General features: G+C 48.7%; 1 protein-coding gene across 11 annotated transcripts, besides 4 other annotated features; it reads left to right on the top strand.

Annotated features, from left to right (window-relative positions):
* Positions 842-1,780: an enhancer, noted in NCBI's record as "H3K27ac-H3K4me1 hESC enhancer chr11:6494772-6495710 (GRCh37/hg19 assembly coordinates)". NCBI's record gives its function as "activates a minimal SCP1, AML or CMV promoter by ChIP-STARR-seq in naive H9 embryonic stem cells {active_cell/tissue: H9 hESC(naive)}" and the evidence as "EXISTENCE:reporter gene assay evidence [ECO:0000049][PMID:30033119]".
* On the top strand, positions 863-26,709 carry TRIM3 (tripartite motif containing 3). 11 transcript variants are annotated; one of them, XM_024448328.2, is made up of 13 exons: positions 1,381-1,531; positions 2,172-2,238; positions 9,590-9,757; positions 17,026-17,257; positions 17,475-17,626; positions 17,846-18,026; positions 18,293-19,025; positions 19,147-19,250; positions 23,884-24,051; positions 24,262-24,430; positions 24,701-24,771; positions 25,876-26,016; positions 26,142-26,709. In XM_024448328.2, the coding sequence occupies exons 3-13, from the start codon at positions 9,627-9,629 to the stop codon at positions 26,292-26,294; spliced, it is 2,235 nt and encodes a 744-aa protein (XP_024304096.1). In that variant the 5' UTR covers positions 1,381-1,531; positions 2,172-2,238; positions 9,590-9,626; the 3' UTR covers positions 26,295-26,709. The 11 variants fall into 11 exon arrangements, with proteins under 11 accessions (NP_001234935.1, XP_024304096.1, NP_006449.2 ...); NM_006458.4 differs by having other exon boundaries at positions 2,074-2,238; XM_047426257.1 differs by lacking the exon at positions 1,381-1,531 and adding an exon at positions 1,575-1,711 and having other exon boundaries at positions 2,074-2,238.
* Positions 1,255-1,484: a silencer, noted in NCBI's record as "silent region_3103". NCBI's record gives its function as "represses an Ori minimal core promoter by ATAC-STARR-seq in GM12878 lymphoblastoid cells {active_cell/tissue: GM12878}" and the evidence as "EXISTENCE:reporter gene assay evidence [ECO:0000049][PMID:35858748]".
* Positions 1,781-2,720: an enhancer, noted in NCBI's record as "H3K27ac-H3K4me1 hESC enhancer chr11:6493832-6494771 (GRCh37/hg19 assembly coordinates)". NCBI's record gives its function as "activates a minimal SCP1, AML or CMV promoter by ChIP-STARR-seq in naive H9 embryonic stem cells {active_cell/tissue: H9 hESC(naive)}" and the evidence as "EXISTENCE:reporter gene assay evidence [ECO:0000049][PMID:30033119]".
* Positions 5,909-6,203: an enhancer, noted in NCBI's record as "tiled region #6512; HepG2 Activating DNase unmatched - State 8:EnhW, and K562 Activating DNase unmatched - State 8:EnhW". NCBI's record gives its function as "activates a minimal TATA promoter and a strong SV40 promoter by Sharpr-MPRA in HepG2 and K562 cells {active_cell/tissue: HepG2 | K562}" and the evidence as "EXISTENCE:reporter gene assay evidence [ECO:0000049][PMID:27701403]".

The raw sequence follows: 26,709 nt of genomic DNA, 5'->3' as shown, positions 1-26,709 counted from the left end.
TTCACAAGCACTGGAGCATCTTGTGCTATGTGCTGAACTCAGGTGGATAAGAGGTTGAGGCGGTTCCCAAAGCTCCTGCTGCACCCAGGTGTTGAGCCTAAATCTGAACCTTGTGGAGAGGTCACAAGAAAGATCCCTAACAGCACTTTGGTTTAGTCAGGGCTAGGTGTCATCACCTGTATGCCCTTTGGCCAAGGAAACCAGAATTTTTCAGGATTTTCCCCACCTCTGGAAGGCTGGAGGAAGGGGAAGACCCACTCAGCAGATTCCCATAGTGCAGGGATCCTCACAGGCATGACTTTGCCCTTTGTCATGGATACTGCAGCTCCCAGACAGTCTTCTGGGCTTTGATCAGCCTGCAATCATCTGACTAGAGCTTGATTTTTGGGGCAGGGAAGGTGGTCCTTATATGAGCTGCCACTTAATGGGCCACTGGGGATTTTTCAACATGAAAGGTACCGAGTCTCCAAATGCTGGTTGTAGGGCCTAAAAACAGGGCTCAACTCCAGGTTCTGCCACTTTCTAGCTGAGTGATGAGGGCTAACGTCTGGGGAGCAAGATCCCTATTTTTTCCCATTGTAAAATTGGGCTAATAAAAGATGCTACCTACTGACTATTAAATAATATATGTAAAGTGGCTAGTTCTGTGTCGGCACATAATAACCACTCAGTCCCTGTAAACTGTTACAATTATTTTCCACTTGGGGCTGCTTTTTGCACAAGGCGATGATTCTGAGAATTGTCCAGTGTCTTTGGTGTGAGGAAGGGAGTCGCTGGATGGTCTGAACCAGAATTTCCTCAGGAGGGGGCTCCTGAAGCGCCCAAAGCCTAATCAAATCCCCCACCTTTCTACCCCTTAACTCCTTCTCCCAGAGTTCTGGGTACTGCCCTTCTGCCGCCCAGAGATCGTGCTGAGGTACAGACGGTTTCTACGTCTTCCTGGTCAGCCGATAGACTAGCATATTCCATAGGAGCACTCCAAGGAAGCCGGAAAGGGCGCCTCCAGGAGGCAGGCGGCCCAGACAGGCTCCCAGAGTCCGAAATCCCTGCTGCCCCAGCTGCCTTTTCTTGACGGAGTCTCATCTCAATCCCTGAGACCGACTACACCGCCCTTCCCGGAGCCGGAGGCAGCTGGCGGAGATCCGGGATCCGAGATCCGGGATCCGGCTCGCCGGCCCGCCGGCTCCCTAGCAGCACCAAGGAGGCAGCGTCCGCAGGAGGTGGAGGCGTTGGCGGGGGGGCGTGCGGGTGCGGTAGGGGTGGGCAGGCGGGGTGGGCGGGGCCTCCGCGGCGGCGGGCGGGGCGTGGGTGGGTCTTCCCTACTGGAGTCACCCCCTCCCCCGGCCGGTCCGCAGCCCCGCCCCGGCCCCTCCCTCCGGCCTGTGCGGCTAGTCCGGCGGCGGCGCCGGCGCGGGGACAGGCGGAGGCGCGGGCAGGGCCGGGCGGACGGGCGCTGGCAGCAGTAGCAGCGCCGCGGGCCCTTCAGAGTGGCCGCAGTCCGAGCTTTGCCCTCGCATCCTGTTCCAACGCGGTGAGTGCGACGGGCGGGCCCCAAGGGTGCGTTTGTATTCCTGTCAGCCCGGGTCTGGGTCGGAGCGTCTGTGGGTGGGGGCACAGATGATTTTCAAAAGCTGTGCCTCTCTCTGCCCACGTGAGGCGTGTCCATGTCCGTGAGAGCAGCAGGGGGATTCTTCGGGCTGTGGCTGCTCACGTGAGGTCCCTGTTTTGAGGCGGGGAGGCGCGGGTGGATGGGTGATGGTTCCTTAGGGGAGCGCGGGGTTTGGGAGCTTGTGTGTGTTGGCGGAGGGTGCTGAACGCTGCGGCCGAGGGTGGTGGTGGTGGTGCGTGCTGAGTGGGACTCTGGAATATTGTGGCCCATCTTGTCTGAAGGGCTCTTTTCTCCCTGGTGCAGACACCTCCACCCCTTGCTCCCCCACCCCCACCCTACCCCACCCCCCGCCCCTTCCATCCTCTGGTACCCACAGGCCCACCAGTCAGGATGGAGGACACCCTTTCCTCCCCATGCACTGCTCTGTGGACAGAAAGCCTCATGTGGAGGCTGTTTTTTTGTAGGAAAGGACCCCTCTGGTTCTCCTGTAGCCTGAGCCCTGCCTGGAGGACCCCAGGCCCCTCCCTGGTTCTGACCTCCTCCCTTCTGCAATTGGCTTCAGATCCTGGGCTGCAAACCTGCAGGGACAGATGGTTGCAGGTTGGAGGGGCAGGCTGCACCCCAGGGAGGTCAGTTCGACTGAGGGCAGGCCCTGGGCTTGTTCTTGGTGTGGGGGTTCTCTGATGTGGACAACAGAAACTCAGGACTGGCCCTAGCAGGAAGATCACATCTGGGAGGTCACAGCAGGTGCAGAAAACATCACAGGTCTCCCTTGGCCAGTCTGTCTAGCTCACTGGTGCCCATTCATCCCCTAAGCAGGGGATGATTTGCTGCAGAATTGGAATCAGAGCTGCAGGCCTGACAGTAGCCCTGCCTCCTTGGGCTTGTATGCCTCCAGTGACAGAGCACTTGCTACTTTCTGCTGTGGAAAAGCTTCCTTATATTAAGCAGAGGTCTCTCTTCTTGGGACTTTATTCACTTGTCTTGTTACTGCCATTACTTTTGCATCTCTCTCTGATGAAAGGGAACTGCAGAGATTTAAACAGAGCTCTCCTGTAACCAACATATACTGAGTACTTCCTGTGTGCCAGGTACTGCCACAGCCACTTAGGAGACAATGGCATTCTTGCCGAGAGAACTTGAGCAAAGAGTCCATCGTTGGGATAGTATAGCCCAGGTTCAGAAAAGCAGAAAAACCATATGGTTAGAATAGAGAGCGTTCATAGAGTGTCACAGGTGACTTAAAACTCAGCAAACATTTATTTACGGGGGCGAGGGGGCAGGGGGAGTGTGGAGGGGAGGCAACTAAGACCATCCTCTAACACATTTAGCCTAACAGTGGAAACTAGAAGTCAAATCATCGAGGTAGTACAAGATGGGATTTAATCATGGGCTCATGGTACAATCTGTGGAAGCCCTTGGCTTGAGAGGGAACCTTGGGAATCTCAGATTTTGAGAAAACATCCCTCTTCTCCCAATTTACAAATAAGGGAATGGGGTTGGAACTTACCTAGAGTTTCACCTTGTGTTAGTGGAGTTAGTTACAGCATTAGGACTAGATCCTAGATCTCCTAACTTTTTAAACCTAGCCAAATTTCAGAGGCAGAATTGAGGATGTAGTCATAGCTTGTATCTGAAAGGTGAAAGAAAAGGTGTAATTGAGAAGACTACCAGGGTTCTCGCTTGTGTGGGTGGGTGAGTGGTGGTGCCTTTTATTTATTTATTTATTTAGATTTATTTATTTTTAGCATATTTATTTTTATGCTTTTAGGATGTAAAAGCATCATGTATAACCTCTGCCTTTTGGAGATTTGCAATCTTGTCCATCTGTTCCATATTTCTTAGTTTCTCATGTTTCTGTTTCTTTACTCACTGTTTTCCCAATGTACGTATCAATGTCCTATTTGTCTCTCAAGACCCAGCTCAAATACCCCTTCCTCTGGAAGCCTTCTTTATTCTGTACCATCCTCAGAGTTAGGTACTTCCTCCAGTTTGCTGCTGTAGCAATTTGAACATGTCAATATCATGGTACTTATCACATTGTAGTTACGTGTTTCCATTTCTGTTTCTCACATTAGTCTAAAAACTTGTGAAAGACAGGGAGTGTGTCTGATTCAGCTTTGTGTCTCTATTTCACAGCTGAAGGACCTGGCCCACAGTGTGCCCAGAGAAGTTTGATTGAATGGTTCATTCACTTTACTCAGTCTGGCAATGTTGGGGGAGATGGCCATGAATTTCATTGCTTTCCTTCCCTGCTAATCTTATTTAAAGGATTCATTGGCTTTAAGGACTTTGCCTCATCCAAGGCTTCATTTGTTTCAGAGAAAGCCCAAAGACTGTAACCTGCAGTCATTTGTCATTTTTTTGAGGTCTCAAATGATCAGATAAACCTGGAAGCTAGTGAGTAGACGTGAGTTATTTTAGCAAGCAAATGAGCCTAGCTGACCTCTCGCATCCATTTTCAACAATGCCTTGGTTACCTCCATTCACAACTGTGTAACTCATGTGTACTGGGAATCCTGTGAGATTGTAGGAGGAAGTCCTGGGGAAAATTAATGCTATTTGAGAATTTGGAGAAACTGAAAAGCCTTGAAACACATCCTTTGCAGATGTCCAGGATCTAGTGGAGTCAGCACTGGCTGTCTTCATTTGTTCACAATCAGCTTCTTGCTTGACTCCCTGCATCTGGCTTCCTGTCCTCCATCCCCTGAAAACCACATGCTCTGAGGTTAATGAAAGCCTCTTTGGGGCTTAAATAATGGGACCTCTGCAGCATTTCACTCCCTTGTTCATGAAGTTCTCTTCTCCCTTGGCATTCATGACATCTGTTTCCTGATTCTCTTGCTTCTCTGGTTGTGCCTTCTCAATCTTCTTTGCAGACTCTGCTTCCTGGGCCTATCTCTTAAATATTGAGGTTCCTTGGGACTTGGTGATAGACCCTCCTTTCTCTCTTTACCCTCTCAGGGTAATGTCATCCACGCCCATGGCTTCAGGAACCATCTCTGCACCAACATCCACATTCATGTCTCCAGGCCAGACCTCTCTCTTAGGCTTCAGCGTATCTTTCCAACTGCCAACTGGACCTCTCCACTTGAATTACATCCCATAGGCACCTCAGATTCATCACATTAAACAGTGAACTCTAGCTGGGTGCTGTGGCTCATGCCTGCAACCCCCACGCTTTGGCAGGCCAAGGCAGGAGGATTAGTTGAGCCCAGGAGTTTGAGGCTACAGTGAGCTATGATCATAACACCACATTCCAGCCTGGACAACAGAGTAAGACCCTGTCTCTTAAAAAACAAAAACAAAACTGAAAAAACCTTAAAAGATAAACACCAAACTTATCACCCTCTCATCCAAACTGCTCTTCTTTGAGAGTTTCCAAAGAATCATCTGTTAATTCCTTCTTCTCCCCTAACTCTTCACATGTAAATACCCAGCCACCAAGTTCAGTTGATATCCCCCTGCAAAATTGATTTATCTTGGCCTGTCTTTGCTATTCTCCTAATCAAGGCAGTTTCTTAATTTTCCGTCCTTGCCCTTTAAACTATTTTCCACATAGCAGCCAAAAATGTACTTTTGTCACTCTATACTTAATAGCCCTCACCACTACCAAAGTTTTCCTTTGCTTTTTGGATAAATCCTTCATCCCCTAGCAGGTAAGCGTAAAGTCTAAACTCCTTAATAAGACCAACAAGGCATTGCATGATATATCTTTTGCCTACCTCTCCATCTTGTTTCTTAGCCCTCCCATCACAGTGTCTGATTCAGCCTCCTGATGCAAAAGGCACCATACTCTCTGTAACTCATCCTCAGCTTGAACGTTACTTTCTTTAGGAGTTACTAAAGTTACTTTCTTTAGGAGAAAGGTTGGCCTCCAACCTCTGGACCCACCCCTGCTCCAGATCTAGGTTAGGTAACCTTTGTACTCCTGGAGCAATTGGTGCTTCCTCATCATGGTCTTCACCACTTTACATTGCAGTAATCTATTTATTAGATTGTGGAATCCATGAAGGCTGAGCTGTGACTATTTGTCTTTGTGTCCCCAGGCCTAGCAGCAGTGTCAAGTGAATGCTGAATGAGGGAGTGAGGTGCCTTGAGAACTAAGCCATAAAGTATGGTGGGAATAACCAATACAGGGATAGCAGAAGGCAGTATGAGAAAGGAGAGTAAAGTCTGGCTCTGAGACCAAGGCCTTATAAGTGTCTGCTGTGATAAACAGTTCACTTGAACCACCACCTATAGGATCTTGGGGGCAAATCTCTAGAGCACAGTGGGATGGAAGAGCTAGGACCCCACGGGAGGAAGAGAATCTCAGATTCAGGCAGGGGTATGGCCTCAGCGGCTGCATGCCCAGTAAGTCTGGGAGGGGAACTGAAGCAGGAAGGGGAGGAGTGGGGGAGGAGCTATTGGTCCTTGGACATAGCCCAATCCCCGCCCCTGTGTGACAGTCTGGGAGAGCCCCTAGGCTTGGAGAGAGGTGGAGCCTGGCATCCAGCTACCCCAGCAGGACCCAGCAGACCACTCCCACTCTTCCTCCCAGCCTTTCCCTTCACCAGACAGAGGCTTCAGCTTGCCTCCCGCCTCCTGGTCCTTCCGCCAACCTTCAATCTGTCCTCCCTCCTGCTATGTTTTCCTGGTATTAAGTCTTCAGACTCCAGAACCCATTACAACTGTAGAGAGAACATCAGGATGCCAGTGTCTACATCAGCAGAGGATACTTTCAGGCATGCCCTTCACACTCTACCCAGGCCCACCCTTACACAAACATAAGGCACAGCAACTCAGCCCTTCTATCCCTCCCCAAATCTAGACTCGCTCCTGCATTCATTCATTCATTCATTCATTCATTCATTCACAGTCTTTAGAAAAAGGCTCATAATGCATCCAACAGCACAGACAATGGTGACCTGGTCCTATTCATTGCCTATTTTGGAGTAATCCAGCTGTTGTTCTGCCACCCTTCATGACCAAATCCCTGCCATGTATTGTCTACATCTGCTGTGTTAACTTCATCTCCCATTTACTCTTCAGTCACTCTGACGTGGCTTCTGCCCCTGCCACCCCACCACAGCCAAATCTAGTGGGCACTCTTCAGTCCGTTTCTTACTTCACCCCTTCTTTTTCTTGCACTGTTCTGTTGATTTCTTTGGTTTCACATTCTTTTGGTTTTCCTACCATTTCTCTGGGTTCTCTTTCTCAGAGTCACCTTTGCTGGCTCCCCTCTCTTGTGCCAGGCCCTTTTCTTATCACTGTCTGCCCTCTGTCCCTAGGTGGGCTCATGTCTTCTCATTGCTGAAAGTGCCATTTATATGCTAGTGATCCCAAATCAATAACCAGTCCAGACTTTTCTCTTGAGCTCCTGTATTCTGTTTCTTACTTGACAGCTCTACCTGGACATCAGAGAGACACATTGTACTTAGCATACATAGAACAGAATGCCCCAAATCAGCTCCACCTCAGCTTTCACTGTCTCTATTCATGGCCCATCACTTGCTAAAATGAGAAAGCTAAGTCATAATTGACATCCCTCTCACACCCAGTTCATCTTGATGTCCTTTGGATTTCTCTTTTATTATTTATTTTATTTTTATAGAGATGGGGTCTCATTATGTTGCCCAGACTGATCTCGAACTCCTGAGCTCAAGTGAACCTCCTTCCTCAGCCTCTCGAAGTGCTGGGATTACAGATGTGAGCCACCTTGCTCGGCCAATGAATATTTCTCAAATCAGTCCAGCTTTTTGCTTGTAGCTCAGATGATACCCTACATTATCTTACCCAAAGAACTTTGGTAGCTTCCTAACTGTTTTCTCTGATTCCACTCTGGCTTCTCTTTGTCTTCAATTCTCACAGCTTGCCAGAGTAGCTTTCTAATTTATTTTCACTTATTTATAAACCACATCATCCCCCCCTCCAACTTAGGATAAAATCACTTTTTTTTTTTGAGACAGAATCTCAACTTTGTCTCATGCCAGGCTAGAGTGCAGTGGCACGATTATGGCTCACTGCAGCCTCGACCTCCTGGGCTCAAGCAATCCTCCCACCTCAGCCTCCCAAGTAGCCTGGACTACAGGTGTGTGCCACCATGCCTAGATGATTTTTAATTTTTTTGTAGATATTGGTCTCATTATGTTGCCCAGGCTGATCTCCAATTCCTGGGCTCAAACGATCTTCCTGCTTTGGCCTCTGAAAGTGCTAGTATTACAGGTATGAGCCACTGCACCCAGCCAAAATCACATTCTTAATGGCGGTTATAAGGTCCTTCATGATCTCATCTCTACCTATCTTCCCAAACTCACCTCTTCCTTTTATTGACTTGGCTCCAACCACACAGTCCTTTCAGGTTCTCCATGAGCCTTCTGCCTAAGAACCTTTATCATGCTGTTTCTTCAGCCTAGAATGATTTCCCTTCCTGACTCCCTGTTGTTTCTCACCCTCACCCATACCATTTTTCTCCCATCCACCCAGAATTCTGCTTAAAAGTTACCTCCTTGGAGAGCCTTCCCTGATGACTCAATCAAAAGTGTTCTTTCTCACAGCATCCCTTTTTTCTTTATATCACTTCCCTGCCACTATTATTTACTTTTAAAATATCTGCCACCACCTCCCCACCACAGGGACAGTGACCCTGTCTGTTTTATCATTCCATTCCTAACACCTGTACAAAGTAGGCAGTAAATATTTATTGAATTCCTGAAATCAATTCAGTAAATATAGATCAATCTTTATGTCAGGCTCTGTGCTAAGTGCTAAGAATGAAAACATAAAATAAAATATAAATAAATAAATAAAATGCCTATCCTCAATAACACTGCATGGAGTGGAGAAAGCAGAGAAGTAACAAGAACATTACAGCATAGCTTATAAGAGTTAGGATGGAGTAAATACAGGGTGCTGAGGGACACAGAGGTAGAGCACCCAAGCCAGACTCTGGGTAGTCATGGAAGGTCTTCTAAAGGAGGTGACATTTATATGGGGACCTGAAAGATGAGTAGGTGTCACATCAGCCAGGAAAAGGGGCCAGGAAAAGGATCCCAGGACAGAGAGAACGAATGCCTGATCTCCCAGAAGCAAAAGAGAACAAGGAATTTTCCAGGAACTGGAAAAAAAAAAAAAAAACCCAGCAGGAATGATTGATCATAGACTTATGAGACATGAGGTTGTAGAAAAGGTATGGGGCAAAGTTAAGCCTCACTGGTCAATATAAGGACTTTGGACAATGGATAACATTTGAAGGAATTTAAACAGAGTACTGACAAGATCAAATCTGTGTTTTAGAAAATTCATTCTGGCTTCAAGGAAGATAAATGAAAAGGTGTCAGTGAGGAGACAAGAACACCAGTTAAGAGGCTATTGCTGTATTCCAGGAGAGAACAGATGGTTGCCTGAATTAGGGGTAGTAACTGTGGGATTGGAGAGAAGGGTTTAAGATATTCAGGAAGCAATCCCGACCTTGATACTAACTGGGTGTGAAAAAGAGTGCAGTTTCAGGCAGTTGTGCTAAGAGGTGGGTCAGGGTATAAATGGAAGAGCTGCAGGTAGTTAGAGGAGAGACACTCCATTCAGGTCTCTTGGAGGAGGATTTGGGGGAGGTAGAGGAGATGAAGGGTAGGTATGTCAGTGAAAATGGACATCTCTGTACCATGCACTCAACAGGCACTATGTCACACTCTCAAATTATTATTCCTGTAATTACAAATTAAGAGACTGAGGCTCAGAGAAGTTACATGGATTGTCCAAGCTCACATAGCTGGTGAGAGACTGAGCCAGGTTTGAAACCCAATCTAATCCTACGTCTGTGCTCTTAAACAGAACACCAGGCTCAGAGGTCACATCACCCTGATCCTTCCAGTCACTGCCCTGTCTTGCCCCTAGCAGGGAAGAGGTGGGGGCAAGTTCTCTGCAGGGGATTTGAGTGGCGGGGATTGGGTGGGGAGAAGAAGTTCTGGACTCCCTGGTGCTGACCATCTCTCCATACAGAGGCTGGTGTGAGTGGCGGGAGCCATCTGTGGGCGCCATGGCAAAGAGGGAGGACAGCCCTGGCCCAGAGGTCCAGCCAATGGACAAGCAGTTCCTGGTATGCAGCATCTGCCTGGATCGGTACCAGTGCCCCAAGGTTCTTCCTTGCCTGCACACCTTCTGTGAGAGGTGAGGGGATGTGTGTACTGGGGAGGGATGAGGACCCTGTGGGGAGGATGAGGATCCTCCTCCCCTGTGGGGAGGGTGAGGGAGCATGTGTAAACCTGTAGTAGGTGAGGCAACATGCTTACCTGGGAGGAGAGCAGGTGAACCCCAACCTGCAGGAAATGAGGTTTTGAGGGCAAGAACCTGTGAGAGAACCATAAGAACCATAACACTGGGCCATGGTTCCTGTCAAGAATAGGGCCTTCTCTGTCCTTTCCCAAACCTCAAGGCAGCTTTTGACACCACCTAAGAAATCAAACAGTGCTCAGACTCAACCAGCTTTGGCATCAGCAATTTATGACTAGTTGGAGGATATTTGAAGTTAGGTCTGTCCTTCCCTGCTTGTCCTTGTTGTCCTCAGGTACTGAGTGAAAGGCAACCTGTCCCAGCCTCTAGGCTTCTATGGATCACTTATTCATTTAACAAATATTCATTTATTGAGCAACTACTATGTGCCAGACCCTGTTCTAGGCATTGGGTATGCAGTGATGAGCAAAAACAGATAAGATCCTTACTCTTTTTTTTTTTTTTTTTTTTTTTTTGAGATGGAGTCTCGCTCTGTTGCCCAAGGTGGAGTGTAGTGGCACGATCTCGGCTCACTGCAACCTCTGCCTCCCAGGTTCAACCAATTCTCCTGCCTCAGCCTCCGGAGTAGCTGGGACTACAGGCGCACGCCGCCACGCCCAGCTAACTTTTTGTATTTTATTACAGATGGGGTTTCACCGTGTTGCTCAGGCTGTTCTTGAACTCCTGAACTCAGGCAATCCGCCTACCTCGGCCTCCCAAAGTGCTGGGATTACAGGCGTGAGCTACCGTGCTTACTCTTTTTAAAAACTGATACACAATAGTTTACATATTTATGGGGAACATGTGATACATTGTTACACAAGCATAGAATGGGTAACAATCAAGTAGGGTATTTAAGGTATCCATCACTTACAATGCTTACTCTTAAAGAGCTAACAGTATAGTGAAAGAGAAAGATAGTCATCAAATAATCATATAGCCAGATTATAGATAAATATAACTTTTAGTAAGTGCTGCAAATAAAGTGCTGAGCTATGAGAGATTGGCATATGGAATCTGTTATAGTTTGGAGAATCAGGGAAGGTTTCCCTGAGGAGCAATTCAGAGGATGAATAGGAGTTAACTAGGTAAAGGGGGTTGGAAGAGCATTCTGCACAGAAGAAAGACCATTGGAAAAGCTCATGTGACATGAGAAAATATGTCAGGTAAGAGGCCTGGAGGAAGCCTGGTAGGGCTAGAGCAGAGTGAGTGTGACTGAGAGTATTATGGGATGAAGCTGGAGAGGTAGGTGGAGGCCAGACCACCTAGGGCTTTGTAGACCTGTTAGGGAATTTCACCTTTACCCTGAGAGCCACATGAAGCCTTTGCAGGGTTTTATATGTGATCACATCTGTATTTTGACAATATTCTCTTGGGCCCTTATCTCTCATTGTTCTGTCTTGGGTGGCCTGGTCCCTAGGTCTTCTCACCACCACTGCCTCTATCCGCACTTTTCCTCTGCCTTCTGCCCCAACGGAAACCTGGCTCTGCACCAGAGATACTGCTTCCCTGCCAGCCCTGCTCTTTGAGATTCCAGCTCCACTGCCCACTCTCCTTTATCAACTGGAAATGGCCTCAGTTTTCCTGTCCATTCAAGTTCTTCTGTCAGCCTGGGGACAACCACCCTCTTGTGCCTGTTGGTTCTTAACTGTTTCTTCAGGGTTGTCCCCCATTCCACCTCAGTAACACTCCCTCCCAACCATGCCCTGAATCTTATAATCCAGAATCTTATCTGTAGTCATAAACGCCAACGTTCCACTCCTGGCTCCCGTTACCCCACTCCCATTACACCACTTTCGATACAATATAGATATCTAGCCCCTTTGACTGCTCCCTCTTTTCCCAGTCACCAGCTGCGTCCTGGCCTCCCTGTCTTTCCTGCCCATCCTGGACCCTGTGGCTGACCGACTGGCTCCCCTGCAGTTCCTTCACATCTTTATCCTTTGCAAAACCCATGCAATAGAAGCTCAATGTTGGATCAGAGCTGAAATTGGATGTCTCTGCACTTTCTCCTGTGCCCAGATCACTGAGCACTCCTGGAGAAAATCTGGCTGAGAAATTGTAATAACAGTAGCTACCATGTATTGATTGCTTACTGTTTGCCAGGGACTGGCTAAGTGATTTATACATACTGATTTCCTTAATCCCTGCAACAGATACTTTATTAACTTCATTTTATTTTTTTATTTTAATTTTTTAATGTAACTTTTCATTTTAATTTTTTTTGGTTTGTTTTTTGTTTTTGTTTTTGTTTTTTTGAGACAGAGTCTCTCTCTGTCACCCAGGCTGGAGTGCAGTGGCGCCATCTTGGCTCACTGCAATCTCTGCCTCCTGGGTTCAAGTGATTCTCCTGCCTCAGCCTCCCAAGTAGCTGGGACTACAGGCGCACGCCACCACATCCGGTTAATTTTTGCATTTTTAGTAGAGATGGGGTTTCACCATGTTGGCCAGGCTGGTCTCGAACTCCTGACCTTGTGATCTGCCCGCCTCAGCCTCCCAAAGTTCTGGGATTCCAGGCGTGAGTCACCGTGCCCAGCTTGTTTCAATTTTTTAAATTTTATTTTTTTTTTAGAGATGAGTGTCTTGCTATATTGCCCAAACTGGACTTGAACTCCTGGGCTCAAGTGATCCTCCTGCCTCAGCCTCCTGAGTAGCTGGGATTACAGGTGCAGGCTACCACACCCAGGTATCCCCATATTAGAGAGGAGGAAACTAAGGTTCAAAGTCAGTAAATAATTAAGAAATATCTCTGGCCAGGTGCAGTTGCTCATGCCTGTAATCCCAGCACTTTGGGAGGCCAAGGTGGGAGGATCACTTGAGCCTAGGAGTTCCAGAGTAGCTTGGGAAACAACATAGTGAGATGCAGTCTCTAAAAAAGAATTTAAAAATTAGCTGGGTGTGGTGGCATGCACCTGTAGTTCTAGCTAATCGGGAGGCTGAGGTGGGAGGATCATTTGAGCCTGGGAGGTGGAGGCTGCAGTGAGCCATGATCACATCACTGCACTCTAGCCTGGGTGACAGAGAGAGGCTCTATCTTAAATTAAATAAACAAATAAAAAAAAAGAAATATTTCCAAGGCTACACAGTAAGTAAATAGCTGAGATCTGAATCCAGTTTTCACTGCAGAGCCTTCACTGTCAACTAGTATTCATTCATGTATCCCTTGGTCCCTGCTCTCAGAGGATGTTCTAGTGGGCAGTGACTGACAGTAAGCAATCAAGAAAACGAGAGCTGCAGCTTGTATTAATGTTTTACAGGATATAAACAGAGAGAAGTAGGGGTGTTTGGGGCAAGAACTATTCTATATAGTCATCAAGGAAGGCTTCCCTGAGGAGGTGACATTTGACCTGAGTTCTGAGGATAAGAAGGAGACAGATTGTTCCAGGCAATAGAAAAATCTGTGCAAAGGCCTTGAGGAAGAAGTAGACAGGACATGTTCAGATACCAGAAAAGAAACCAGTGTGGCCAAGTGAGGAGTAAAGTGGGATGAGGTGAAATTGGAGAGAATAAGGGCAGTTTAAGGGGGAGCTTGTAGGTTTTCAGAAAGTGTTTGGATTTTATTTTAAGTGCAATGGGAAACCATTGGAGTTTTTAAAAATATATATATACAGGGAAATAATGTAATGTAAAAAGTTCACCCTAGCTGTTATGGAGAGAATGGATTATAAAGGAGCAAGAGTGGAAACAGAGACCAGTTAGGAAGCTATCGTGAGCCAGGTACACTTGACAAATAGGAAGGGGATATTGCTGAATTAGAAGGTGTTTTGCATGGGGAAACACTAGATTCAGTGAGCTTGGAAGAAAGCTGCTGAAGAATAGAGTAGAATGGTTGAAATGCAGTGATAGTTGATGAGAAGTGGGTGTTAGTGGGAGCATGGGAAATGGGGGAAAAGATCACTGGGGGTGAGAAGGTCAAGGAATTAAGAAATCACAATGGGGGATGGATGTTAGTGCCACTGAGAATGATGGCAGAGTGGTGCGGGGGGTAATGGAAGAAGAGAGTGAGCCAAGAGAAAGATGTCCACAATTGGAAGTGGGGGCAACCATTAGGTTAGCAGAGACAACAATAAGGAGGAGTGATAGAGATAGAAGGCATGAGCTTCAAAGGAGCTAGAGTTGAATAGTTCAGAAATGTTCCAGTTGGGAAGAGGGAGGGCTCAAGCCCACCTTCTGGCCCTAAGGAGTGTGGAGTATGAGACAGAAACCACTCTACTTGAGAGGACTGCAAGGAAAAGTAAGTCACAATTAAATAAGTTACACTGGGCATGGTGGCTCATGCCTGTAATCCCAGCACTTTGGGAGGCCGAGACGGGCAGATCACCTGAGGTCAGGAGTTTGAGACCAGCCTGGCCAACATGACAAAACCCCATCTCTACTAAAAATACAAAAATTAGCCAGGCGTGATGGTGTGAGCCTATAATCCCAGCTGCTCGGGAGGCTGAGGCAAGAGAATCGCTTGAACCCGGGAGGTGGAGGTTGCAGTGAGCCAAGATTGTGCTACTGCACTCACACCTGGGTGACAGAGCAGGACTCCGTCTCAAAAAAAAAAAAAAAAAAAAAAAAAGCCACCAAAAAAACAAAAACAAAGAAAACACAATTAAATAAGTTAATACTTGTGAAGCACTTAGAATCATGCCTGGCACATAGTGTTTGTCAGATTTTAATTAAGATCCTAAGTTATAGGAAACATTAAGAGTTGAGATTGAGGATATGGGAGAGTTTGCATAATGCAGATCTTCACTCCACAAATTTGAGGTCCCCAAATACAGCTGCCTTCAGTTCTGATGTCTGTTTCTAGTAAGTGTCCTCTGCTCTCCCATCACTGACTAATCTGAGCCATCATCAGGCCCCTGAATCCTCCATCCTTCACTCTCCTATGTCCCTAGTGCCTCTCTATATCCTCCTCTCCTTTCCTCCTTCCCTCCATTCAGAGACTGACGTCCAGTCCTCCTCTTCAGGCCAATCCGAGGCACTCCCCAATCCTCAAGATCTTCTCCTCTCAGTTTTGTAGTCTCTTCCCCCTCTCCTTCTCTCCTGACTCCTCCATTCATAAACATGCTCAAAACTCCCATGCCAAACAGGTAAAAACTCTTTCTAGCACCATCCAACCCCTCAACCAGCTCCTCATTGGAACTTTCAAGCTCCCCTTCACTCAACTTCCAGCAGTCAAGCTTTCCTTCTCCTGCCACTCCCTCCCTGTTTTCCCTACAGACAAAGTACCCTCACATTTGCCAAATTCAGTGGACATTTTCCTGTCCTTACCTTACCCAACTCGTCAGCTGCTTTTAACGCTGATGACTACTCATTCCCTCCTGGAAATGTACCACTCAGTTTTCTGCCCTAACACAGCTGCTCTTCCTGCCTCTCGGCCTGGTCTTCTTTGTTGTCCTCATTCAGTTTTTGCTAAGTGCTCTGTCCCTCTCTCTTATCACTGTCTATGCTTTCTTGTCTGATCTCATCCTCTCCCAGTGCTACCGAAGCCATCTAAATGTTGATGGCATGCCCATCTCTTGTCTCTAACCTTCATTCTCCTGTCTACTGGTGACCTCAACCTGGGTGTTTATTGTTACAGTAAATTCAACCAGGACAAGGCTGAACTTTCCTATAGCTACTCCTCTTTCTATGTTTCTCATCTTAGTGAATGTCACCACTATCCACTCAGTTATCAAAGCTAGGAATTTGGAAGTCAGCGAAGACTCATCATCTCTCTTGCTCCCCATATCTAATCAGACAACACCTCCCACCTTCCCTCCTTCTTAAACACTTCTCAAATTTATTTCCACCTCATAGTCTACATTACTATTGCCTAAATCCAGGTCTTCTTCACTTCCTACCTAGATGATTGTAAGAGTATGCTGGCTAAGCACATACTTTGCATTTGAAGACAGGCTTCAGCACCTACTGCTGTTGTTACCTTGGGCCACTTGCCCTTTCTCCTGCTAACAGAAACGTAATCAGAAAGCATGGCACCTGGCACATATGCACTTAATAAATGGTAACTAGCTGGTGATGCCACTGCCCTCGCCCCCCAACCCCATCTGCTGTCTCATTCCCTTTAAATTCACTCCCCACACAGAGGGGGTGAAGAGGAGCTTGGTAAAATATAAACCTGGCTATACCACTCTCTTGCAGCTTCCTATTGCTGGCAGGATAACTTCTAAGCTCCTTGACTTCTGTCACCATTCCTTGCCTTGGACTTTGTCTCTAGCCAGCCACATCAAACTGCTTACAGTTGCTTATTCATACTATGCTGCTTCTTGCTGCCTTCTGTATCTGGACTACCCTTCCCCCTCTGCCTGCACCATTCTTTGGTCAGGCTAACAATTATTTATCCTTGAAGATTTAGTTTGCATCAACTCTCTGAAGACTTTCCTGGACACCCTCTCCACCTGCTTGAGCCAGATGCATTTCCTTATCACTTTCTATCATTCCTTATATTAATAATAAGTAATACAAGTAGCCTACCATATATAGTGCTATTATGAGTCAGGCATTTTACATTTAATCCTCTTCAAATATAAGTAAGTACTTTACATGTAATCCTCTAACACTCTGTGAAGTCTGTACTTCTCCATCTTACAAAGGAAGAGTCCTTGGCTTGTCAAAGTTATGTAACTTGTCAGGGGTCATACAGTATAACAGGTGACCAACGGGGTGTTGGGCCTGGGCAGCCTAGCTCCAGGACCCATTCCCTTAATCATCATGCTATTTACTTCTGTACTATTCCTGTGACTTTTTTCTCTGTAGATGGGAAGTATTTTAAGGGTAGGCACTGTGCTTTATCTTTTTGTCCCCAGGGCTTGGCATAAATTTGGCAAGAGTAGACAGTAGTGTTAATGAGTTAAAGAAGTTGGGCAGGGGGTGCCTAGTTGCACATTCCTATGAGAAGCATTTGTAAACACCTGTGAAAGGTGAGCCTGTGTGCACACTGTGAGGAATGTGGATAGTCTGCTCTTCTGAGAGGGGTCGGGGTGTGTTCCTACTCAGTTGTAAGGGGCAAGGCCATTATACCTGCTGGCAGATGAGATGTGTCAAGCAGAGAGGTTTTAAAATGAAGTGTAATGGCACACCTGTGAGGGAAGGGGTTGGCACCCATGGGAAGTATAAGGAAGGGTGCACTTATGCCACCCCACCCACTCTGTTCTTTGACTCTCCTTCCTGGACAGATGTCTCCAAAACTATATCCCTGCCCAGAGCCTGACGCTATCCTGTCCAGTATGCCGGCAGACGTCCATCCTCCCAGAGCAGGGCGTCTCGGCACTGCAGAACAACTTCTTCATCAGCAGCCTCATGGAGGCAATGCAGCAGGCACCTGATGGGGCCCACGACCCGGAGGACCCCCACCCCCTCAGTGTAGTGGCTGGCCGCCCTCTCTCCTGCCCCAACCATGAAGGCAAGGTGGGCCCAAGCGAGGCCCAGTGAGGCCGGGACTTGGGGTGGGAGGAGGAGGAGAGGCATTGGGGGGTGCCGAGTGGCTGGGTGACAGGGTACTGCTCTGGATTAGTGGTCCAGGTAGGGGGTGCACTTAGAAGGTGAGGGGCAGGGAGGGCAGGTGGGGAGGGGACAAAGAAGTGTGATGTCTAGCCATTACCCGACTGGAGTCCTTGTACCGCAGACGATGGAGTTTTACTGTGAGGCCTGTGAGACGGCCATGTGTGGTGAGTGCCGCGCCGGGGAGCATCGTGAGCATGGCACAGTGCTGCTGAGGGATGTGGTGGAGCAGCACAAGGCGGCCCTGCAGCGCCAGCTCGAGGCTGTGCGTGGCCGGTAGGCACTGGGCAGGGTCCTGGGCTGGTGGGGCCACAGGGATGGTGTCTTAGCTCGGGCGGGGAGGGGAATAAAGGGTCTGGGAAGGGCAGAGATGGAAGTCTCAGGGAGGTCTCAGGAAGGAGATCTCCATGAGGGCAGCAGTAGGTTCCCCAGGGAGAAGGGAAAGTTCGGCAAAGCCACCCTCAGCAACTCTGGAATGAGATATTCCCCCTCCAGATTGCCACAGCTGTCCGCAGCAATTGCCTTAGTCGGGGGCATCAGCCAGCAGCTGCAGGAGCGCAAGGCAGAGGCCCTGGCCCAGATCAGTGCAGCGTTCGAGGACCTGGAGCAAGCACTGCAGCAGCGCAAGCAGGCTCTGGTCAGCGACCTGGAGACCATTTGTGGGGCCAAACAGAAGGTGTGTCTTGTGTTCACCCTTTCCTACCATCGTCCATTGTGATGGTGTTATTGCCTCCATTGTTCCTCTGTCTTCCACACCAGCTCCCCATTCCCCAGCCTAGATATTCTGCCTCCTGACATGCCCTCGGTAGGTGCTGTGGGCATCTGTGTCCTCTGTCCACAGGCACCCTCTTGTATTTTATGCCACAGTGCTACAACTTCAGTAATCACAGAGACTCCCCCTGTGCCAGTCTGCTCACCCACTCCTCCCCTACCCCTCATCAGGTGTTGCAAAGCCAGCTGGACACACTGCGCCAGGGTCAGGAACACATCGGCAGTAGCTGCAGCTTTGCAGAGCAGGCACTGCGCCTGGGCTCGGCCCCGGAGGTGTTGCTGGTGCGCAAGCACATGCGAGAGCGGCTGGCTGCATTGGCGGCACAGGCCTTCCCGGAGCGGCCACATGAGAATGCACAGCTGGAACTGGTCCTTGAGGTGGACGGTCTGCGGCGATCGGTGCTCAATCTGGGCGCACTGCTCACCACGAGCGCCACTGCACACGAAACGGTGGCCACGGGAGAGGGCCTGCGCCAGGCGCTAGTGGGCCAGCCTGCCTCGCTCACTGTCACTACCAAAGACAAGGACGGGCGGTTGGTGCGCACAGGCAGCGCTGAGCTGCGTGCAGAGATCACCGGCCCGGACGGCACGCGCCTTCCGGTGCCAGTGGTGGACCACAAGAATGGCACATATGAGCTAGTGTACACAGCGCGCACGGAAGGCGAGCTGCTCCTCTCGGTGCTGCTCTACGGACAGCCAGTGCGCGGCAGCCCCTTCCGCGTGCGTGCCCTGCGTCCGGGGGACCTGCCACCTTCCCCGGACGATGTGAAGCGCCGTGTCAAGTCCCCTGGCGGCCCCGGCAGCCATGTGCGCCAGAAGGCAGTGCGTAGGCCCAGCTCCATGTACAGCACAGGCGGCAAACGAAAGGACAACCCAATTGAGGATGAGCTCGTCTTCCGTGTTGGTACAGACAGCCGAGGGCAGAGCCAGATGGGCCAGGCTCAGGTAGTGGGTGGGGAGGGAAGGGAGGTTCAAGATGACCTCTGAATGAATTATTTTGTTTTCCCTCCTGTCCCTTCCCACAGGCAGTCGTGGAAGGGAGAAAGGTGAATTCACCAATTTACAAGGTGTGTCCGCAGCCAGCAGCGGCCGCATCGTGGTAGCAGACAGCAACAACCAGTGTATTCAGGTAAGCACCTTTACCGCTCTCCTCCACCACCAAAATAAGAGTTTTCAAGCTACAGGCTACTGAAAAGATAGAATGTACAGGTCACCTCCTGGAAGATGGAACCCTACAGATAGTACCGTTCCTTAAGAGCAGTGAATCAAAGGATCACCCCTTACGCACCCACCAGCCACCCCATTCCCATAGGCCACAACTGTAACCAGCACCTTCAGTCAGAAACCAGAGTTTACTATGCTTGTAGCCTCTACTTTGTAGGCCATGGCTTAGGGCAGGTCAGCTCCTGGACTGCAAAGATCTGGCTCATTCCTCCTTTCCTTCTGCCTCTCCTTGAGCCTCTTACTTTCTCCCTTTTTCTCCTGGTGGCCTGCCCTCCGTGTCTTCCAACATGCATGCCTGGCTCCTGAATGTATGTAGTCTGTCTGGAGTCTCTGCAGTTATCAGGTTGGCTAGACAGTTGCATAGGGGTATCTTGGCCAAAGGGGGTATCTTTCAGTGGCTAGAAGTTGTAGCAGGTGGTCCTCCCACTGCCTCTCCCATAACCTCATACACCTGATTATGGCATCAACCGCACTGAATGAACATGGTTTCTGCTGCACTGTGAGCTCCTTTTCAAAGCCAGGAAATGTGCCTTTTTTTCCCTCTGTTTCTTGTAGTAAAAGCTCAGAGCCTAGTACAGTGGGCACCAGGGTAGTTGACACAGCAGAGCAGTTAAAAGCTCAGGCTCTGAAACCAGACACCTGAGCTTGAATCCTAGCTCTGTCACATACTAACAAGTCACATGACCTCTTTGAGCTTCAGTTAACTCATGTGTAAAATTAGGAAAAGTATATCTGATAGGGTTGCGGGGAGTGTTAAATGATGTACTATACTTGACATCTAGTGAAACTTCTGATGTTAGCTATTGTTAAAAATATCATCGTCCAGGTGGAGGCTGTAAACAAAGGCAAGCAGGTGGGAAAGTGCTGGAGGAGGTGGTTCAGGGAACTGGAAGGAGCCCAGCAGGCCTGGAGGTAGATTACTATTAGAAGCCAGGGGTAGCTGAGGTCAGATTGTAATTGGTTTTGGAGATGGAGTGTGGAATTTTGATTTTATCCTATAGGGGATTGTTTCTAACTACCATGCACTTTACTTCTTCGAAACATTTTACTGGGTAGCAAAACTTTTCGCTGAAGATCCTTACTTCTAAACACCTATACGTTTAAACTTCCTGACCCTGCTTGAGTACTCATGTCATCGATCCAGCTCTGCTAAGGTCCTTTCCCTCAGTGACGGCTACTCTCTGACCCCTGCTTTTCACCTAACAGTCTAAAAGTGCAAGGGACTCTTCTGTGGCCATATTCCCAGTTCTGTCCAGTCGTCCTTTACTCCTACCCTATTTCTAAGAGCAGAGGAATGGAGAGGCCCTGTGCAGCACAGGAAGGCATTTGGGCCCAGCCTGGATAGTGAGGAGGGGATTGCGGGGGAGTAATGAGGTGGTGCTCAGTTCCCTACTCAGTTACACCTTCCAGCTCCTTTCCAACTCCCTAGGCTGGGAATGCTTCCTGGCATAAAAGTTGAGATTTGGGACCCCTTCTCTGTTGTGCACACACACAGGTGTGCTCACTGCTCACATGCACAGAAAAACAAGTGCCACTTTGTCTGTCCTGGTGAGGGGGCTGAACTTCCTCATAGTTTTTTTTTTTTTTTTTGAGACAGGGTCTCTGTTGTCCAGGCTGGAGTACAGTGCTATGATCACAGCTCACTGCAGCCTTGACCTCCTGTGCTCAAGCAATCCTCCTACTTCAGCCTCCCGAGTAGCTGGGACTACAGGCGCATGCCACTATACCTGGCTAATTTATTTTATTTTATTTTTATTTTTAGTAAAGACGGGGTTTCACTATATTGTTTGGGCTGGTCTGGAACTCCTAGGCTCAAGCTATCCTCCTGCCTTGGCCTCTGAAAGTGCTGGGATTACAGGCATGAGCCACTGCACCTGGCCTCCCCATTGTTTCAGAGTGGGGAATTGAGAGGGAACACCTGGTATAGCTCCACTCTCTTCCAAACACCTGCTACTTCTATAGCAGTCCTCCTCTTGCTTCTACTTCCACCTGCCCTCTATGTCGCCACTGCTAGGAGCCTGGCTCAGATTTCTAAGTTGAATTTCTGCTTCTCTTACTCTGGAGTCCTTAGGGCTGGCATGGGCTGGGCTCCCTGATGAGGTCTGATCCCCCTCCTCCTCTCAGTACATGGGGATTGGGGTCCTCACGACATGACCGTTTTCTCTTTTGGACACTTCTATGGTGGAGGATGAGGCAGACCTCACTGAGTGGAACCAGCATCAGTTGACAGAAGACAAAAAACATTTTGTGATTCTGAATTAATAATTTGATTTGTATATATTATGTCCTTGTGTAATTGTCTAAGCTTCCAGTTTTATCAGCTCTTCTGTGAAAACTCCCTCATTCCCTTAGGCAGAATGTTAAATCACATTCTTCTCAGTTCCCTCAGCCTTTTGCTATAGTACTTTTCATACTTTACTGGAATCACTGGTTTGTTTTTGTTTTTGTCTGGTTTTGTTTTGTTTTATTTTGGTTTAAGTCTTTCTCCCCCACTAGACTGTGAGATCCCTGAAGTCAGGGATCTACTTTCAGATACCATGGTATAGGAGAGAGATGTTAAGGACCAAACTAGGACACCAGCAGATTCTAGAGATATTAAGGAAGCAAGAATGGCAGATTTTGCTAAATCGTCAAATGTCAAGAATGGCAGGACTTTGTGGACTGGGTAGATGGTGTTGCCATTCAGGAGCAGGCCCAGGTTTAAGTTGATGAATTCACTTTTGCAGATGTTTGAGATAGCTATGCGGCATTCAAGTGGAGATGTCCAGTTCAGGTCTGAGATTGAGCTGGGGAGTTCATTCATTTGTTGAATGCCTACTATGTGCCAAATGCCATATCAGTGCTGCAAGTGCAGCAGCAAACAAAACAGATGCAGTCCTTATGCCATGCGAGGCTTACATCCTTAGAAGGGGACACCGATATTTAACAGTTATTTAGCTGCAAAGTGATAATTGTTATGAAGAGAGCTGTAAAGCATATATCCTGGTGACCTAAGTTTATATGTGCATATTGATTTGGTAGGGCGGAGGGTGGTACTTGGTCATTAGTCTTCTCTGAAAAAGTGACCTGGAAATTCTAAGAATGGAAAGATGAGTAAGAGTTGGCCAGGTGTCAGGGGTGGGATAGGCTGGGACTGGAAGAACAAGACATCCCAAAGCCTCATCAGTATTGAGCCAGAACCTGAGCTGCTCAAACTGGAGGGGCATTACCTCACCGCTAAACTGTACCTTTTAGTGCCCCCTCACTTCTACTATTTAGCTCGTGGAGCTCATGGTATCTCCCTTCTCATACTGATGAGTGCTGTCCTGCCACAGGGGACCACTGCAGAACCCAAGAGCTGTGCTGGTCAGCCAGAGAAGAGCTTAGTAGAAGGTCCACATTAGAAGAAAGTGATGCCTGTTGGTGGGACCAGTTTAAACAGCCCTGCAGGACTAAGAGATGGAGTTGGGGTGGGGCCGGGGCGGGGAGACCAGTCCATTAAGGAAGGCACAGATTTGAATCCAAGAGCAAGGCCAATGCCCAGAACTTGAGTTCTCCAAGGCTGCTCCTGGCTCTCGTTCATCTTGTGTCCCCAGAGCCTATAACAAAGCAGAGTGTATGAGACTTATGTAGTGAGTAATGTTTTGACTATGAAGGAAAAGCCAGAAAGCTTAGCTAAAGTGGGAAGGAGGATTAAAGGAGGTGCTTTTGGGATGGGGAGACCTGAGCATATTGGGCAGCTAAATTAGAGGAGGTTGGAGAAGGGAGAGGTTGAAAGGTTCACTCTGTGTAGGAGGAAGGTTTCCTTGTCAGCCCCATAGCCTGAATGGACTAATTCTTGTATACTTTCTCCTCTCTCACCTACCCCATTCCAGTCTGCTACTAAGTCTCATGAGCCTACCTCCTACATATGTCTTGAGTCCATCTGCGTCCCTCCAGCCAATTTCCTTGGTCCAAGCCATCATCATTTCTCAACTGGAATACTGCAACAGCCTCTGACTGGGCAGCTAGCTTGTAGTCTTGACTTCTCCCTACAGCCAGAATGTTCTTTCTTAAAAGCAAAATTGATCTTGTCACTGCTATGCCTAGAAATGTTAAGAAACTCCTCATTACACCCAGGATAAAACATAATTCCTTCTTTTGTTCACCTGGGTGCTCCCTGCAGTCCAGCCACACTGGACAAGTCCTCAAGTGGTGCCCATACTGGACTTTGTGCCTTTTACAATCTGTTCACTCTGCTTGAATGCCTTTCCTCTTCCTTTCCTGGCCGAATTTGGTTTATGTGGCATCCTCATTAGGCTATTTGTTCAGACATCTTCTTCTCTTGGAGCCTTTTCTCACCATTCCCCTTCATCCCTTCATGTTCTCACAATCCCATTCATATCTCTGTTGCATTGCCCCAGACCTGCTGCCATGTTTGATTTTGTCAGTAAGTGCTTGTTGAATGACTGAATAAATGGTGGTGGGGGGGTCTCCTCCCTCAGGATCCTACTCCCTTCTGTCTGTGCCCACAGTGTCTCCCCTCCTACCTGCTCCCTCCCCTTGCTCCTCTGCTCCAGGTTTTCTCCAATGAGGGCCAGTTCAAGTTCCGTTTTGGGGTCCGAGGACGCTCACCTGGGCAGCTGCAGCGCCCCACAGGTGTGGCAGTGGACACCAATGGAGACATAATTGTGGCAGACTATGACAACCGTTGGGTCAGCATCTTCTCCCCTGAGGGCAAGTTCAAGGTGAGAGGCCTGCTGTCACTTTACTTACCCTGGTGTCCAGCTGAACTGACCAGTCTAGTGCCTCTTGGTGGTCAGGGTCTGGACTGATCCAATCCTACCTCCTCCTACTCCCTGTTCTTTCCCCAGCCCAAGATTCTGCTTTGGTACTGGGTTAGGACTACTTTCCCCACTGTCAGAATAAAGCCTCTTATGGATATTCTCTTCCTCCAGACCAAGATTGGAGCTGGCCGCCTCATGGGCCCCAAGGGAGTGGCCGTAGACCGGAATGGACATATCATTGTGGTCGACAACAAGTCTTGCTGCGTCTTTACCTTCCAGCCCAATGGCAAACTGGTTGGCCGTTTTGGGGGCCGTGGGGCCACTGACCGCCACTTTGCAGGTATAGGGGGACAGCTCCAAGATCTATGCTGATACCCCTGTTCCAGAGAACTCCCCTAGATACCCCAGCTGTAAAGGCCCTCTCCTCCTATATCTTGGCTCTGGAGATCCCACTTCCCTTACGTTAGCCCTATCATCTCAGAAATAATTTGTCTCAGTCCTGGAGACCCCACCCCTCTCCTAACACCCTAGCTTTTATCTTCCCAGATACTCTTCCCCATCCCACTCAGCATCCCAGCTTACTGCCCTGAAGACCACTTTGTATTTTCAGGGCCCCATTTTGTGGCTGTGAACAACAAGAATGAAATTGTAGTAACGGACTTCCATAACCATTCAGTGAAGGTCAGTGTCTTCCCTCCCTCCGTGACCACTGTCCCAACATCCTTTCCTCTTCCACAAGACTCCTCTCTATTTTACCTCCTCCTTTTCCCCTTTGAGATCATTCACTCAAACAATACACATTTACACATTTATGCATGGCTGCTTTGTCCCAGGCAGTATGCTAGAAGCTGGAGATACAGTGATGCACAAAGCAAATGTATTCTGTGTCTTCTTGATTATAGTCTAGTAGGGAAGAGAAAAAGGTAACCAAAAAATTACAATATGATGTAATAGATTCTGTGATAGGAAGGTGCAGGGAACTGTGGGAAGGGATACAGAAGTGTATGATTCAGGAAAGACTATATGAGGAGGACCTCAAGCACAAGTGGGAATTAAATGGAAGGCAGAGGAGGACGAGAGTGTTTGAGACAAAAGACACAGGAAGAGCCAAGAATGCAAGGTGGGAACCTTAATAGTGTGTTCGAGAAATCACAAGTAGTTCAGACTCAGCTTGAGGAGGGGACCGTGAAAGCTGAGAGTGAGGCTTGTGTGCCCCCTTAAGGGGCTTGCTCTCCTCCCAAGAGCTATGGGGAGTCACAGGATTGCAGGCAGGGGAGTGATGCAGTCCTGTGTGTCTTAGATCACTCAGGCTGAGGCAAGACTGAGACAGGAAGATCAATCTTTTGCAGTGATCCAGATGAGAAATGATGTGAGCCTGGACCGTGAGAAAGACGAGACAGTGTATGCATAGGGTATAGACTTGAGAGAGGGATTTGAGATGGAATCAAGAGTTGTGTTAATTCATTGGCCTATCAAACAGAGAAGAAATTGGAGTCAAGAGTGACTCATGGCCAGCTGGGTGGCACCAGTCATTGAGATAGAGAACTAAGAGAACTGATTTCCCAAAGAAAATGAGCTGTTAGATTTGATATTCCCAATGGACATCAGCAAGAGATGTCTACTAGGCAGTAGGGCACATGGATGTGAAGCCTATGAAGCAGATTTGGGCTGTAGCTGTAGATCTGGGTGGGGGTTCTCAGCCCTGGGGCTTCACCCTATCCTCCTCCAAAGCCCTACCCTCTGCCTGAGGCCAGGTCCCCAGTCCCTAGCCCCTTCCCCCGCCAGGTGTACAGTGCCGATGGAGAGTTCCTCTTCAAGTTTGGCTCCCATGGCGAGGGCAATGGGCAGTTCAATGCCCCCACAGGAGTAGCTGTGGACTCCAATGGAAACATCATTGTGGCTGACTGGGGCAACAGCCGCATCCAGGTGAGTAAGGCCTGGGAATGACATGAGGGGGCGGTTTCCTGGTGTGTCCCATATGCCCGTTCCCCCAAAACAGACTCTCATCTGCCTGATCTTGCCTCTCCCTCCTTTCTGCACTCCTTCCCCAGGTATTCGACAGCTCTGGCTCCTTCCTGTCCTATATCAACACATCTGCAGAACCACTGTATGGTCCACAGGGCCTGGCACTGACCTCGGATGGCCATGTGGTGGTGGCTGATGCTGGCAACCACTGCTTTAAAGCCTATCGCTACCTCCAGTAGCTGTACAGAGGCCCTGCCTGGCTTGTGGAGGGACAGACATTGGGGTGATTGGACAAGAGGGTCTGGCTGGGAGGTGGGCCAGACCTGGCAGCACTGAATGTGGGCTGTGGGCATGGGTGCACCCGGTGCCCTCCCTCTCCTACCCCCACCCCCACGGTTGCACTTTATTTATTCGGTTCTTGCTTTGGTGACTGGGTGAGCCTGGACTGTGGTCCCAAGGATGTGTGCAGAGCTTCACCCTACCCTTCTTACACACCTCCCCACCCCTGTCAGTCTGCTCCCCATCCCCCAGCCTGGGGCCAGAACAGCCTACCCCAGGACAGGAGTCCCTCTAGTTGTCTCCCTACCACCCTATACACACTGACAGAGACAGCAATACCCCACCCCCCATATTAAATAAATGTCTTCACCAAGA

Source organism: Homo sapiens, chromosome 11 (genome assembly GCF_000001405.40).
Source record: "Homo sapiens chromosome 11, GRCh38.p14 Primary Assembly".
Classification (NCBI taxonomy): domain Eukaryota; kingdom Metazoa; phylum Chordata; class Mammalia; order Primates; family Hominidae; genus Homo; species Homo sapiens.
This window is presented reverse-complemented; position numbering and strand designations above follow the sequence as displayed.